The 13,977-nt window shown below is 52.9% G+C and overlaps 1 protein-coding gene across 57 annotated transcripts in view, besides 1 other annotated feature; it reads left to right on the top strand.

The window, feature by feature from the left end:
• Positions 1 to 5,513, top strand: part of ASCC2 (activating signal cointegrator 1 complex subunit 2) — a 49,664-nt gene extending 44,151 nt beyond the window's left edge. For 38 of the 57 annotated variants that reach the window (NM_001369942.1, NM_001369947.1, NM_001369936.1 and 35 more), the window contains 5 exons: positions 448 to 547; positions 634 to 764; positions 1,589 to 1,691; positions 3,576 to 3,655; positions 4,940 to 5,513. In NM_001369942.1, coding sequence (NP_001356871.1) covers positions 448 to 547; positions 634 to 764; positions 1,589 to 1,691; positions 3,576 to 3,655; positions 4,940 to 5,111 — 586 coding nt within the window. In that variant the 3' untranslated portion in view covers positions 5,112 to 5,513. Of the gene's footprint in view, positions 1 to 447; positions 548 to 633; positions 765 to 1,588; positions 1,707 to 3,575; positions 3,656 to 4,939 lie in introns of all 57 variants that reach the window. The other 19 variants (XM_011530455.3, NM_001369925.1, XM_047441541.1 and 16 more) reach the window with 3 other exon arrangements.
• Positions 10,825 to 10,998: a silencer, noted in NCBI's record as "fragment chr22:30179115-30179288 (GRCh37/hg19 assembly coordinates)". NCBI's record gives its function as "represses an EF-1alpha promoter that drives an FKBP-Casp9 reporter gene in an ReSE screen in K562 erythroleukemia cells {active_cell/tissue: K562}" and the evidence as "EXISTENCE:reporter gene assay evidence [ECO:0000049][PMID:32094911]".

Genomic DNA, 13,977 nt, shown 5'->3' with positions numbered 1-13,977 from the left:
CACTTGCGGTCAGGAGTTTGAGGCCAACCTGGCCAACATGGTGAAACTCCATCTCTAATAAAAATACAAAAATTAACCAGGCCTGTAGTCCCAGCTACACGGGAGGCTGAGACAGAAGAATCGCTTGAACCTGGGAGATGGAGGTTGCAGTGAGCCGAGATCGTGCCACTGCACTGCAGCCTGGGTGACAGAGCAAGACTTCCTCTCAAAAAAAAAAAAAAACAGTGGCTCTTGGGATGCCCTCTAAAGTGGCTGGAGCCATCCTTATGGGCACCAGCAGCAGTGACAGTCCCACCCTCCCACGCCCTCACCAATGCTTGATTTCATTTGTCTCCGTGACAGTCTGAGGGCTGGAGCAGTTAAGCCTGTGGTCTCTGGACCCTCCGTACCCTGCGGCCTTCCAAGCCTGATGGTTTTCCTTCCTCTCTTTCTGCTGTTCCTTCTCAGCACCAGGAAGGAGGAAAACACGCGGAGTTTGCTGAACGACAAGCGTGCAGTGGCGGCACAGCGGCAGCGCTACGAGCAGTACAGCGTGGTGGTGGAGGAGGTAGGCCACCAAGGCCAGGTCTCTGCTGGGCCAGGGAAACCAGGCCAGCCCCTGAGCCCCCCAGACCCATGCTTATGCCATTGCAGGTGCCACTGCAGCCAGGCGAGAGCCTGCCCTACCACAGTGTCTACTACGAGGATGAGTACGATGACACATACGATGGCAACCAGGTGGGCGCCAATGATGCAGACTCTGATGACGAGCTCATCAGCCGCAGGTGAGGCCATAGTGGGGGTGGCGTTCCAGGGCAGAGCAGCTCTCAGGCCCATGGGGCTCCCTCACCCACTTGTTTACACAGATGTGGCAGATCCAGGGCCCAAACCCAGTCCTCCTGACTCCTAATCCAGTGCTCCTCCACCCCAGCCCACCCTGAATGGGGCAGCATTTATTCGGTGTCATGCAGTAGCTTTGCGTTTTTCTTTTTTGAGACAGAGTTTCACTCTGTCGCCCAGGCTGGAGTGCGGTGATGGAATCATGGCTGACTGCAGCCTTGACCTCCTGGACTACAAGTGATCATCCCACCTCAGCCTCCTGAGTAGCTGGGACTACAGGTGTGGTGTGCACCACCACACCCCGCTAACTTTTTTATTTTTTGTGGAGGTGGGGTTCTCACTATGTTGCCCAGACTAGTCTCACCTCCTGGGCTCAAGTGATCCTTCCACCTCAACCTCCCAAAGTGTGGGTATTACAGGCGTGAGCCACCGCGCTCAGTCCATTTTTCTTCTTAATTGAAGAAAATGTTTTCAGGTGGAATGTTACAGCGATTCCCCAATACAGATCCAAGCAGAGCTGTCCCGACTGAAGAGAGGACTGGAGACTCTCCCGGCCCCATTTCAGTCTCCCCCTCAACCCCACCTCAAATTCTGGTAACCTCAGAGAATCCAGGGGCTGGAGCAAATCTGGCTTGAAAGGCTTTTGGTTTTTCCCAACCTCCTGAGCCCTCCTGGCGGCCCCATCTCACCCAACCAGGTTCCCTCCTCCTTGTGGCTCTTGCTCCTGGTTGAACCTCGTCTTTGATCTCATTTCTCTCCACACCCTCAGGCCATTCACCATCCCTCAGGTGCTGAGAACCAAAGTGCCTAGAGAAGGGCAGGAGGAGGATGACGACGATGAGGAAGACGATGCTGACGAGGAGGCTCCCAAGGTACCTCCCTGGCAGGTAGCAGATGAAGGGGAGAGTGCAGTTCTGAGGGGTGAATCAGAAGGGCCCCTCACCCCTCCCTATGTCTGGCCCTGAGGCAGCCCCAGCATCACTGGCAGGGACAGGAGGAGTCCCTTTGAGCCCAGGATGTCTGCTTGGAGAGCTACTGGCTTAGAACTAACTTCTGCTGCCCACTAGTGAGGACCTAGGGGACAGATTAAAGGCAGGGCCTCTGAGCCACCAGCTTCATTATTAGGCCCAGGAGCCTAGGAGTCAGGAGAAGGGCAGTTAGCAGCACCATACCCAGGATGGCAATTCTTAAAATCAGAGAGGAGTTAGAGCCCAAGGGCCCTGGGAGGTCATCTGGATCGGTAAGTTAGAAAATTCTACTTTTTAGCAGCTAAACTTTTTATTTGAATGAAATCTTAACTAGAACCTCAACGTACAGAACAGATAAACGCGGTACTGCTCAGGTGACAGGGCAGCAACCTGGGATCATGCCCCACACCAGGGTGACAAATTCAGATGTTTCTGGGGCCAGGTCACCAACGGCAATGAGTAGCGGGGCCTGGTGGGGACTGCGCTGAGCAGTGGGAAGCACGTGCCCTGCCTCAGGGGCTCCTCGGTGCAAGCACAGACTCAGAGTTTCCACAGATTTATCTGCTTCTCAGGCAAGGGGTCAGCCCAGATTTTTATGTAAAACCTACCAGTTTTGTGTGTGTGTGTGTGTTTTGTTGTTGTTGTTGTTGTTTTGGAGATGGCGTCCCACTCTCGTCATCCAGGCTGGAGTGCAATGGTGCAATCTTGGCTCACTGCAACCTCCACCTCCCGGATTCAAGTGATTCTCCTGCCTCAGCCTCCCAAGTAGCTGGGATTACAGGAGCTCGCCACCATGCCTGGCTAATTTTTTGTATTTTCAGTAAAGACGGGGTTTCACCATGTTGGCCAGGCTGGTCTCCAACTCCTGACCTCAGGTGATCCACCTGCCTCGGCCTCCCAAAGTGCTGGGATTACAGGCATGAGCCACCACACCCAGCCTTCTTCTTCTTCTTCTTTTTAGAGACAGAGTCTCGCTTTGTCGCCTAGGCTGGGGTGCAGTGGTGCAGTCATGGCTTACTACAGCCTCAAACTCCTGGGCCCAAGCAATCCTCCCACCTCAGCTTCCCTAGTAGCTGGGATTATGGGCTCACACCACCACGCCTGGCTAGTTTTTATGTGTTTTTGTAGAGATGGGATCTCACAGTGTTGTCCAGGCTGGTCTCAAACTCCTGGACTCAAGTGATCCTCCCACCTTGACCTCCCAAAGTGCTGGGATTACAGATGTAAACTACAGTGTCTGGCCTTTTTTTTTCCTTTTTAAAGCTACTGGCCACCAAAGCCTGTCTGTGGTCCCTAGGTCCCAGTTTTTCCTTGCACTATTGGCAGAGAAGGCTGTCCTTGAGAGTGGGCACTCCCACACATGCTGCTAGTGGTGCCACAGTGAGGCCTAGGCCTGCAGCTCCCGGGACCACTTAGCTCCCACGGTGGCTCCCGCAGTCTTCAGGGCCCTGCACAGCCTCTCACAGTGGCCATCCTGGCTTCCCCACCACTCCCATTTGTCATTGTTATGCCATAACTATGGTCTATCCACTCTACCAGCCTGTCCAGGAAGCCTCAGTCCCTTCAGCTGCCACCCGCTCAGGGAAGAGGTGGGGCAGGGGGCTCCTAATGGAAACCTCAGACCACAGTAATCCCACTCCATTCCTGGGCGTCGCTCTGCCAGGCTGCAGCTTCCCCCCACACCTGGCATGGAGGCATCGACAAGCTTCACTTGAGCAGGGCCTCATCGCCGCTTAGGAAAATGTGGCAGCTCCTGACTCCAGATTTGGTCTCCTCTCCTTTCCACAGCCCGACCATTTTGTTCAGGACCCTGCAGTGCTGAGAGAGAAGGCAGAAGCCAGGCGCATGGCCTTTCTCGCCAAGAAAGGGTGAGCATTCAAGGGGCTGCTTCTGGGGGGACCCCTCCCACCATCTGGGGAGGGCCTAGCCAGCCACCCAGGAAACCCACACGTACACCCTAAGTGCTCCACGTGTATTTAGTTCTCACGACAACCCAGTGAAGTAGCTACCATTATCACTATCCTTATTTGACAGATGAAAAAACTCAGGCCCAGAGACGTTAAGTAACCAGCCAGAAGTCACACAGCTAGTAGGTGATGTAGCAAAGATGGAGCCCAGATGGCTCAGCTCCAGGGTCCCCACTCATAACCATTACTTGGTGAACACAGGAGGGGATTTATCACCCAGCGTGTCCAGGGCTAGCTGATATCAGGCAGAGTGTAAATGTGAGAGAGCTCAGACAGACACAGACACATCCTTTCTGGCTGATAGAGGTATGGAAGTGACGGGCACTTGAGTTGGGCCCCTAAGGGTGAAAAGGGCTCAGAGGAGTTTGTCATATGAGGGCAGAAAAGTAAGAAAGCAGGCGTGGTCAGGAGAGGGATCTTCGAGGGGAGCTGAGATCAGTACCCAGAGACTCCTCATCCAGGCCCCGCATCTTCCCAGTGAGGAAACATTGAGAGGGGCCAAGGATCTGCCTCCACCTAAGGCCAAGCCAGGAGTAGAAGCCCACTCCCGCATCCCGGCCCTAGGCTTCATGCAGCACTGTCTGCTGGGTTCAGGAGGCCTGGCCACAGGGAAGGCATTTGGATTTCATTCTGAAGGCAGTGGGGAGCCACAGAAGGTTGTTGAGCAGGGAGCAGAGCAACCCTGACTTCTCATCCATCCCAGCCCCCTGAGTGCGGAGCTCTGGCAAATCCCAGTGGTCAAGATGGTCTGAAAGGGCCCTAGGTCACATCTGTGAGTGCACTTGGTCTTTGGAGGCTGCCAGGCAAAGCCCTAGGGTAGAGAACAGGAGTAATGTCTCAGCTACAGCATGTGGCCCCAGAGGGAGAAAGGAGGAGACCCACCTGAAGCCCTCCCCGTCTCCTGTAGGCTGTGTCAGCTCTCTAGCTGTTCCTCCGCTACACGTAGCAATGGGCGGACCTGGAAGCAAGGCCCAGAGAAGAGAAAACACCAGGCTCGGGGCTGGTCAGAGCCCCAGGGCCCTGCCCCTGCTGGGCTCCATCTCTCCTTCCATCTGAAGTTGGGACATGAGTGACCAGGCCCAGTCTGTGTCCTCTCCCAGTGAACACCAAGGCAGGCTGTGGGCTCTCCCGCCAGAGCCTCTTCCGGCTGACAGGTTCTCGTGGGGTGGGTTGTTCCTCCCTCAGGTACCGGCATGACAGCTCAACAGCAGTGGCCGGCAGCCCCCGAGGCCATGGGCAGAGCCGCGAGACAACCCAGGAACGCAGGAAGAAGGAAGCCAACAAGGCGACAAGAGCCAACCACAACCGGAGAACCATGGCCGACCGCAAGAGGAGCAAAGGCATGATCCCATCCTGAGACCTGGTGCAGGGCCAGTGGGGAGGCAGCGGCACCAGACTCACCAGGCCGTGCTCCCATCGCCTGGGGCCTCCTCACTAGGGGCCCCAAGTTCAACTCAACCCCTCAACAGCCTCAGCTTTGCAGCCCCTGAGAAGGCCGCCTCTCATCTACCAGCCAGCCATGAGCGCCTTCCTGCAGAACACACAGTGCCTTATGCCACAGCCGAAGAATCCGTGGGGCCGGCAAGCAGGCACCTTCCCCCAGCTGCGCTAGCGGGAAAGAGATGGGGATGGAGTCCCAAGGCAAGCGCCCCAAACCTCGGGCCACAAGACACCACTTCCCCTTTACCCTGGACAGCAGGAAACCTGTATATTCAAAAACACAAAAAGTCCTGCTAATAAAATTTTTGACCCTTTCAAACGATCTGTGTATGTCCATGACCCACATTCCCTGTGTCTCATTCTTCAGGGACAGCTGCCAGCTGGAGGACAGGAAGGCAGGATGGTCACTGTACTCTCTCCGTCATCCTCTCCTGCTTGTGGCTCCTGTAACCCCTCTGATGCTGCTCTGCCTTGCTGTGTGACCCCAGAACATCACCCCCTTCTCTGAGCCTCCAGTCCTTGCTAGTGGAATGAAGGGCTGGGTGGGGTGAGCCCCTGTGGTCCTTTGCATTTTCTCATTCAGTTATGACAGCTCCACTGTAAGAGGTAGGTACCATTTTCAGCCCGGTAGTACAGATAAGGAAAATGAGGCACCGAGGGCTGAAGGCACCTGCCCCGGCCACAGCTAGGAAGTGGCAGAACAGGGATTGGACCCTGGCCTTTACAGGGTTCTAGACCCCTGTAGGTGGTGTCATCTCCATCTCACAACTGGCCCAAGGACATTCAGCCAGTGGCAGAGGCAGTACCCAAACTCAGCACCTCATGGTTGTATCTACATTGTAATAAATCCCCCCAAATCTAGAGTTCGGACAGAAACCTTAAGAAACAAGTGAGAATGTCGCTGCCAAGCCCTGTCAAAGTGAGTGGGACTTGGGCCTGTTTCCTCAAAGCCCCTTCCCAGGCATGGCCAACCAGTTCCTAGCGTGGCAGCAGATGCCAGGCCACACTGCGTGTTGTCACTCAATGGCGAGTCAACAGCGGGGCATTGACTGGGCTGACCCTAGCCCAGCCTAGCCTGGAGCCCCATCCTATCAGTGGAAGCCAGGGCCCATGCCTGGCTGGACCTTGACAAATCACCCTGGATGCTGGTGCAATTTATTTGCACGTGCTTAGGATGAGAGTCTGAAGCAGAGGCAGACAGGCACTTGATGGATTGGTTTTGTTAGGTCAGCCCGCACAAGTGAAAATCAATAGCAATCCCTCTGCCTGGCCAGCCCTCTTGGTGTATTTGAGATGCAGAGCAGATACGGGGGTGGTGTCCTCCCCCTGAGCTGCTGAATTAGCTGAGATCAGGCCCAGGGTCAGCCGTCCTGACAGGCAGCAGGAAGACTCTGTTTCCTCCTGGAGGCATTTGCCAGGGACCTCCCTAAACTCCTCAGGTCCAGTGCTTGTCCCTGGAGCAAGGCAAGGTGAGTTGGGAGTTCCCAGGATTTACTGGTCTTACCTGTTCCTGTTCACACGGCCCCTCTCACATTCTCTTAGTCATCTATACCTCCCACCCACCTGGACTGGTGTTCAGGCCTCATGTGAAAATCCTGGTTTAAAGTATTTGAGAAGGAGTCAGTTTTTCAAATTTTTCAGAATGTAGTGCCAGGTCAAACTTCATCTCCCTTGAGGATCTACTACTTTCTCATTTCAGATCTTGAAAGCACTCTTTCAGAGGTGCTTTGAAAACAGCTCAGGGGCCATCCAGAATGGTGTTCCTACGCCTACTGCCTCATCTCTCAGGGCCTCAGTTTTCCCATCTGTACAGTGATCCTGTTGGACCAGATGAAATCTTTCCACCTGGTGCCAGTTAAATCCTCTGAGGAGATCCCAAGGTTTAATTAACATTGGCAGCTGCTCCAGCCTGTGCAACATAGCAAGACCCGATCCCTCCAGAAAATAATAAATAAGGTGGGTATGGTGGTGCACACCTGTAGTCCCAGCTACGCAGGAGGCTGAGGCTGGAGGATCACTTGAGCCCGGGAGTTGGAGGGTGCACCCAGGAGTTGGAGGCTGCAGTGAGCTATAATCATGCCACTGCACTCCAGCCTGGGCAACGAGTGAGACCTTGTCTCTTTTTTTTTTTGAGACGGAGTCTTGCTCTGTCACCCAGGCTGGAGTGCACTGGCACGATCTCGGCTCACTGCAACCTCCGCCTCCCGGGTTCCAGTGATGCTCCTGCCTCAGCCTCCCGAGTAGCTGGGACTACAGGTGTGCACCACCGTGCCCGGCTAATTTTCGTATTTTTAGTAGAGACAGGGTTTCACCATGTTGGCCAGGCTAGTCTCAAACTCCTGACCTCGTGATCCACCCACCTCAGCCTCCCAAAGTGCTGGGATTATAAGCGTGAGCCACCGCACCCAGCCAGAGACCTTGTCTCTTAAAAGGAAAAAAAAAATTTGCAGCTGCAGAAGTGTTAGAAGCGAAGTGGGGCTAGAAATGCCTGCTGGGTCACTGCATCCCACCATCCCCACTGCTGCTTCTACACAGGTATTTTCTAAGTGCCTTCTCTAGGCCCTGGCAAAGAACACGACTATCACATTTGCCAGCAAGCTTTGAAGACCTTGCGTCTCCAAGAGGACTTAAGACTCCAGCGTCTTTGTTCCTAATCTGTGGGTGGCAATGTCATGGGCATGTGTGTTTGAACAGTGCTTCTGTGCCTCTGTGAGGTGGTGGGGCAGAGCCGGTCCTTGTTTACTAAAAGGGACCCGAGCCCCCACAGGGGTGGGAGGATGGGTTAGGCTTAAAGAGCCAGGTGCAGTCTGGAAGAAGAAAGGATTGGTGAGAACTTGCATGGCCCTGCCACACCAGGAGCTTGGGTAAAATCATACTGGGAGGGAAACAAAACAAAAAAAGTCAACACCCAAGAAATGCAGGGGGGTAACTCGACCACCTCTGTAAAGAAGAAAAAAAGCAAACAAAAGAAAAATGCAAGGGGGTGTTGTGTAGCCGTTTAAAATGATATCAACAGAGACTTGGTAGACTTGGTAGTGACATGGGAAACTAAATATTCAAGAATTTTTAAAAGTAGAATACATGATTGATGCACCATGATGGTGAAAATGTTAATTCTTTTTTTCATACAAACAAAGCAAGTCTGGAAGGGAATGTGCATAAATGAAAATAATAGAGGCCGGGCATGGTGGCTCACGCCTATAATCTCAGCACTTTGGGAGGCCGGGGCAAGTGGATCACCTGAAGTCAGGAGTTTGAGACCAGCCTGGCCAACATAACGAAACCCCGTCTCTACTAAAAATACAAAAATTAGCCGGGGGTGGTGGCACACACCTGTAATCCCAGCCACTCGGGAGGCTGAGGCAGGGGAATCACTTGAACCCAGGAGGCAGAGGTTGCAGTGAGCAGAGACTGCGCCATTGCACTCCAGCCTGGGTGACAGAGTGAGACTCCGTCTCAAAAAATAATAATAATAATTAAAATTAATTAAAAAAATAAAAATTAGCCAGGCATAGTGGTGCTCAGCTGTAGTCCCAGTCCTGACTATTCATGAGGTTGAGGCTAAGCCCAGGAGTTCGAGGCTGCAGTGAGCTATGATCAAGCCCCTGCACTTAGGCTTGGATGACAGAGCAAGGCCCTGTCTCTAAAAAAAAAGACAAAAAAAAAAAGGCAGGAGGGAAGGAGTTAAGGCCAGAAGGCAGGCCAGCCCACTGCCTAGTCAGTGGTTCAAAGCGCAGCTCTCAGTGTTTGCAGCTTGTTCTCAGAAATCAGGGACTGGGCGGTCAGCCCGGCTGGAAGGGAAAAGGAAGAGGAGGACAAGGGCATCCACTCACATATTCGCCAAAAATCGACTATGTGTCAGGCATGTGTGAGAAGAACCCAGACTCTGCCTTCTTGGAATTCACTGTACAAGAGGCATGTGGATATTATATAAGACATTTTGTAAAAATGATTAATAATTGTGCTAAATCCTAATACATGAATGAAGAAATGAGTGGGAAGAGAAATAAACAAGCAAAATCAACAGAAAGAGGCTGAGAGCAAAGAGAATTCCCAGAAGCAGAGAGAGAGAGAGATTAACTAGGCAGAGGCAATGGGGTTCACTGGGGCTCTGCCAGGAAGTGGCGGGGAGGCAGCCAGCAGGAAGAATGGAACAGGAGGATCCTTCTTGGAAGGAAATTGGCATTGACGAGGAAGAGGGGACTTAGAGGTGGGGAGGGGTGTTGGCACCCAGAGCATGTTTATGGGATGCCTAGAAAGAGCTGGGGAGGCACCCAGGCTCCAGGGGACCCACCTGGGGGAAGGCCAGTCCCCAGGGAGAGGAAGGGTGGAGCAGAGGCTCCCCAGAGCAGCTTGGCATCTGGCCTTCTCTAAATCTCTTGAGCGTGGGGCAGCAAGGCAGGGGCTTTGACTGTGGCCAGAGGCTGTTGCAATTCAGTAGTCAGAACTAGGGTTAAAAATTCATTCTGAGGGCTGGGTGCAGTGGCTCATGCCTGTAATCCTAGCACTTTGAAAGACGGAGGTGGGTGGATTGCTTGAGCCTGGGGGTTCAAGAACAGCTAGGGCAACATGGCGAAACCTCGTCTCTACAAAAAATAGAAAAATTAGCCAGGTGTGGTGGCATGCACCTGTAGCCCTAGCTACTCGGGAGCCTGAGGTGGGAGGATCACTTGAGCCTGGTGGGGTGGAGGCTGCAGTGAGCCCTGAGCATGCCACTGCACTCCAACCTGGGCAACAGAGCAAGACCCTGTCTCAAAAAAAAAAATCGTTCTTTCTAGAGGTTACCCTATGTGTGTATGGGGTGGGGGTGAGGATCCTCAAAACGAGCATGAAATTCTCACTTCACATCACACTGAAAATTCCCTTCCAACGATCGATAATCAGCAAGAGGATTTCATACAGACTGGCGGAATTCAGTACATCTTAAAGGGCATTTAGTCCAGATTTTCTCAACCTGTTTCAACCCCCAACCAGCCCCAATCTTAGGCTTTGGAATTCCAGACATCCCCCCTCCCCTGGGGGTGGGGAGCTTTGTCCTGCTTAAGACTCTGCTGGGGCCGGGTGTGGTGGCTCACACCTGTAATTCCAATACTTTGGGAGGCCGAGGTGGGCGGATCACCTGAGGTCAGGAGTTGGAGACCAGCCTGGCCAACATGGTGAAATCCCGTCTCTACTAAAAATACAAAAATTAGCTGGGCATGGTGGCACACATCTGTAGTCTCCAGCTACTTGGGAGGCCGAGGCACAAGAATCACTTGAACCCGGGAGGTGGAGGTTGCAGTGAGCCAAGATCATGCCACTGCACTCCAGCGTGGGCAACAGAGCAAGACTCTGTCTCAAAAAAAAGACTTTGCTGAGCTTCTGTGGCTCTCTTCCAGCCATGGAGGTTTCCTCCAGCTTTACTTACTGTGGTCTGAATTACAAAAATGACAGGTACTTAATTCTAGTTTTCTGAATATGAAATGATGACGGTGACGCTGCCTTTTCTAGCAACAGGAGTCCACTCTCAGCACTCTGACATGTCCCTTAAGTGCTCTGCCATCCTAAGGAGATTGTAATTATGGTTTTCTCCTCCTTAAAATGATTTTACGCAGAAGAGCCAGGTGGAAAAGGGGCCCCCAGTGAGAAAAGCACCAATGATTCCTATAAAGTTAGGAATTTGTCTTTCTTATTTTATTTTATTATTATTTTTAATAATACAGACAGGGTTTCACCATGTTGCCCAGGCTGGTTTTGAACTCCTGGGCTCAAGTGATCCTCCCGCCTTGACCTCCCAAAGTGCTGGGATTACAGGTGTGAGCCATTGCGCCCAGCCATCTCCCTTCTTTTAACCACCCTGCCAGAAACCCCTTTGCACACATCACCTGCTATTTCCGGGGGGCACAGTTCGAAGCATGGAATTCTGGGGTCCTAGGGCCATGAACAGTTATAGAGCGGCCCGTCACTCTGGGTTTTGGCTGGTAGTTCTCCCTGGTGGGACAGAATCGGGGGTGGCTTGAACTCCAAGGCTTTTGCCTCCATGGGTGACTTCTGTCGTGAAACAGCCTCTCCCCAGGCCCTTGTCTCTAGGGAAGGTTGGAAACTCCATATTTGAGCCCTTTGGATGGGAGTTTGTTTAGAAGAAAGTGAAGCTACTGGCCCCTTCACTCTGATGGGCTCCCCAGGTGCCCCATGACAGAGCCAATGTCCACAGCCCAGCCTTCAGGGTCAGAGGCCTTGCCACAGGACAGTGACAGTGACAGATGAGGACCAGCTTGATGACCTGTCAAACAGGAGGTGGCCTGTCACACCTGGAAAACCACACTCCCCTGCTTGAGAGAGGCCTACACAAAAAGGCATTTAACGCTCCCCAGGGTGTTAATTCAGAGTAAGACGTGATGGCCAGGTCAGACCTTTTCCCTGGGGGACCAGGGTCCCCTAAATGGCTGGTGGCCTATTTTGCTTTTGCCATTCAGAGCAGGGGCTAGGCTCTGGGGTCAGAACTGAGCTGGGCTCAGCCACTCCCTGGCTCTCTGACTTTGAGCAAGGTGGCCTCACCTTCCGAAGCCACAGTTGTCCTATCAATAAACTGGAGATGTTGGCAGGGTGGCTGGGATAAGGTGTGTACAGTCCCGGTCTGCCGTGAGACAAGCTAGTGAGCTCACAGGGACTTGCCCACAGGGACCGGGCTGGGAGAGGAGTGGCAGGTACTTCCAGCCAATGCTCCAGCTGGCTTTCTGTGCACCCCACACCCCACTCTCTTGGCAGAGCTGCCCTAATTCCTCCTGGGCCATCTCCCATGGGCTCTGGATGGCCTGGATACACAAGCTGGACACAGAAGACAGGCCTGGTAAGTGTGCAGTCGGTGTCCTGGGAGCCCAGAGGAGGTGCCCCACACAGCTTTGTAGGACTGGAAATTACCCTCAGTGAATCCTTGAAACAAAGCCAGGAAAATGGTTGATTAAAAGTCTTGTTTGGAAGTTCAGGCCGGGCACAGTGGCTCACGCCTGTAATCCCAGCATTTTGGGAGGCCAAGGCGGGTGGATCACCTGAGGTCAGGAGTTCGAGACAAGCCTGGCCAACATAGTGAAACCCTGTCTCTACTAAAAGTAAAAAATTAGCCGGGCATGGTGGCATGTGCCTATAGTCCCAGCTACTAGGGAGGTTGAAGCAAGAGAATTGCTTGAACCCGGGAGGTGGAGGTTACAGTGAGCCGAGATCGCACCACTGCACTCCAGCCTGGGCAACAGAATGAGACTCTGTCTCAAAAATAAAAATAAAAATAAAAAGGAAGTTCAGTCACTTGCTTTTGGCTGCAAAGTGGCTGAGTCAGAATTCAAACCCAGATTTGCAGCTTCCAAAGTCCATTCTCTCAGCCCCTATAGGCTTTCCTCCCCTATAGCTAGGCACTTGAACTGGAAGCTACAATACTCCACATGTGGTTAGCTCAGCACGAAAAAGAGGGCCTATCACCTCCTTTGTTCTAAATACCTTGCTTTTGCTGATATAGCCTGTAATTCAAGTCATTCTATTGGCAGAGGGGCAGGGGAAAGGGAAGAGAGTAGAAAGCTGGGCAGGGGAAAGGGAAGAGAGTAGGAAGCTGGGCAGGACATATTTCCCCAATCTCTGCTCTGCTGTAGCCTCTCCTGACTGCCAGTGGAGGGAAAGGATTCCCTGCAGAGGGCCCAATGGAAGGAGATGTTTCCATTAGGAAAGCTTGGTGAGCTAAGGAGATCAGGCATCGCATGGAGTTGCAGCCCCAGGGCAAGAGGTGGCCCTCCCTGTTTGGGGCCTGCACTGGAGGGAGACAGAAGCCTGCTGAGACAGCAAGGATGGAGGGAACTGAGAGGACTCTGTTCTCAGTGAAAGGTGCTGGGGAGAGATAAGGGATGCCCGAGGAAGATACACGGTTACTGGGGCTTAAAATAGTGTTGGAGGCATGGAAAATGAGATTGCCAAGGGACAAAAAGGAGAACACAGGAAAGCGATCAGGCCTCAGAGGGAGGGAAGGGATGCCGAGAACACGATTTTAAAGCAGCTGGGACAATGAGGGGGAGGCACTTGGCTGATTCAGCTGTACAGTCAGCCCCAAAGCGCTCAGCCTGCATTTTTGTGGATCAAATATGCTAATTAGGCACAGGTCCCTGAAGACTGTGTGGGGAGACCCATTCATTTACCCTCTGTAGCAACATAACAAATGACCCCTCCTAGACCTGTGCTAAGCACATCACAAGCACTCTCATATATTTTCCCAACCACCCTGTGACATGTCAGCATCATTATTCCATTTTTCAGATGAGGAAACTGAGGGTCAGAGAGGGGAAACAACCTGCCCAAGGACCCCCAGCCAAAGAGCAGCAGGGCTAGGATTCAAACTCAGGCATGTCCTGTCTCCCTAATCCATGCCCAGGCATAAGGTGATGGAGCAAAGGAAAGCCCAGCAAGGACCCTATTTGGTAGGTTTGTGAAGTGAGATTTGAGGTAGCCTGGGTCTTACATGTCAGGCTAGGGAATATGAACTTGATCTTGTTGTGGGCAGTGGGGAGCCATTGAAGGTGTTTAAGCAGGGGCATCAGTCTGGCCTTACAAGAGTGCAATGGAGGCTGGGTGCGGTGGCTTACGCCTGTAATCCCAGCACTTTGGGAGGCCGAGGTGGGTGGATCACCTGAGGTCAGGAGTTCGAGACCAGCCTGACCAACATGGTGAAACCCCATCGCTACCAAAAATACAAAATTAGCTGGGTGTGGTGGTGCATGCCTGTAATCCCAGGTACTTGGGAGGCTGAGGCAGGAGAATTGCTTGAA

Source organism: Homo sapiens, chromosome 22 (genome assembly GCF_000001405.40).
Source record: "Homo sapiens chromosome 22, GRCh38.p14 Primary Assembly".
Taxonomy (NCBI): domain Eukaryota; kingdom Metazoa; phylum Chordata; class Mammalia; order Primates; family Hominidae; genus Homo; species Homo sapiens.
Note: the sequence above shows the minus strand (reverse complement) of the source record. Positions and strands in the feature narration are given on the sequence as shown.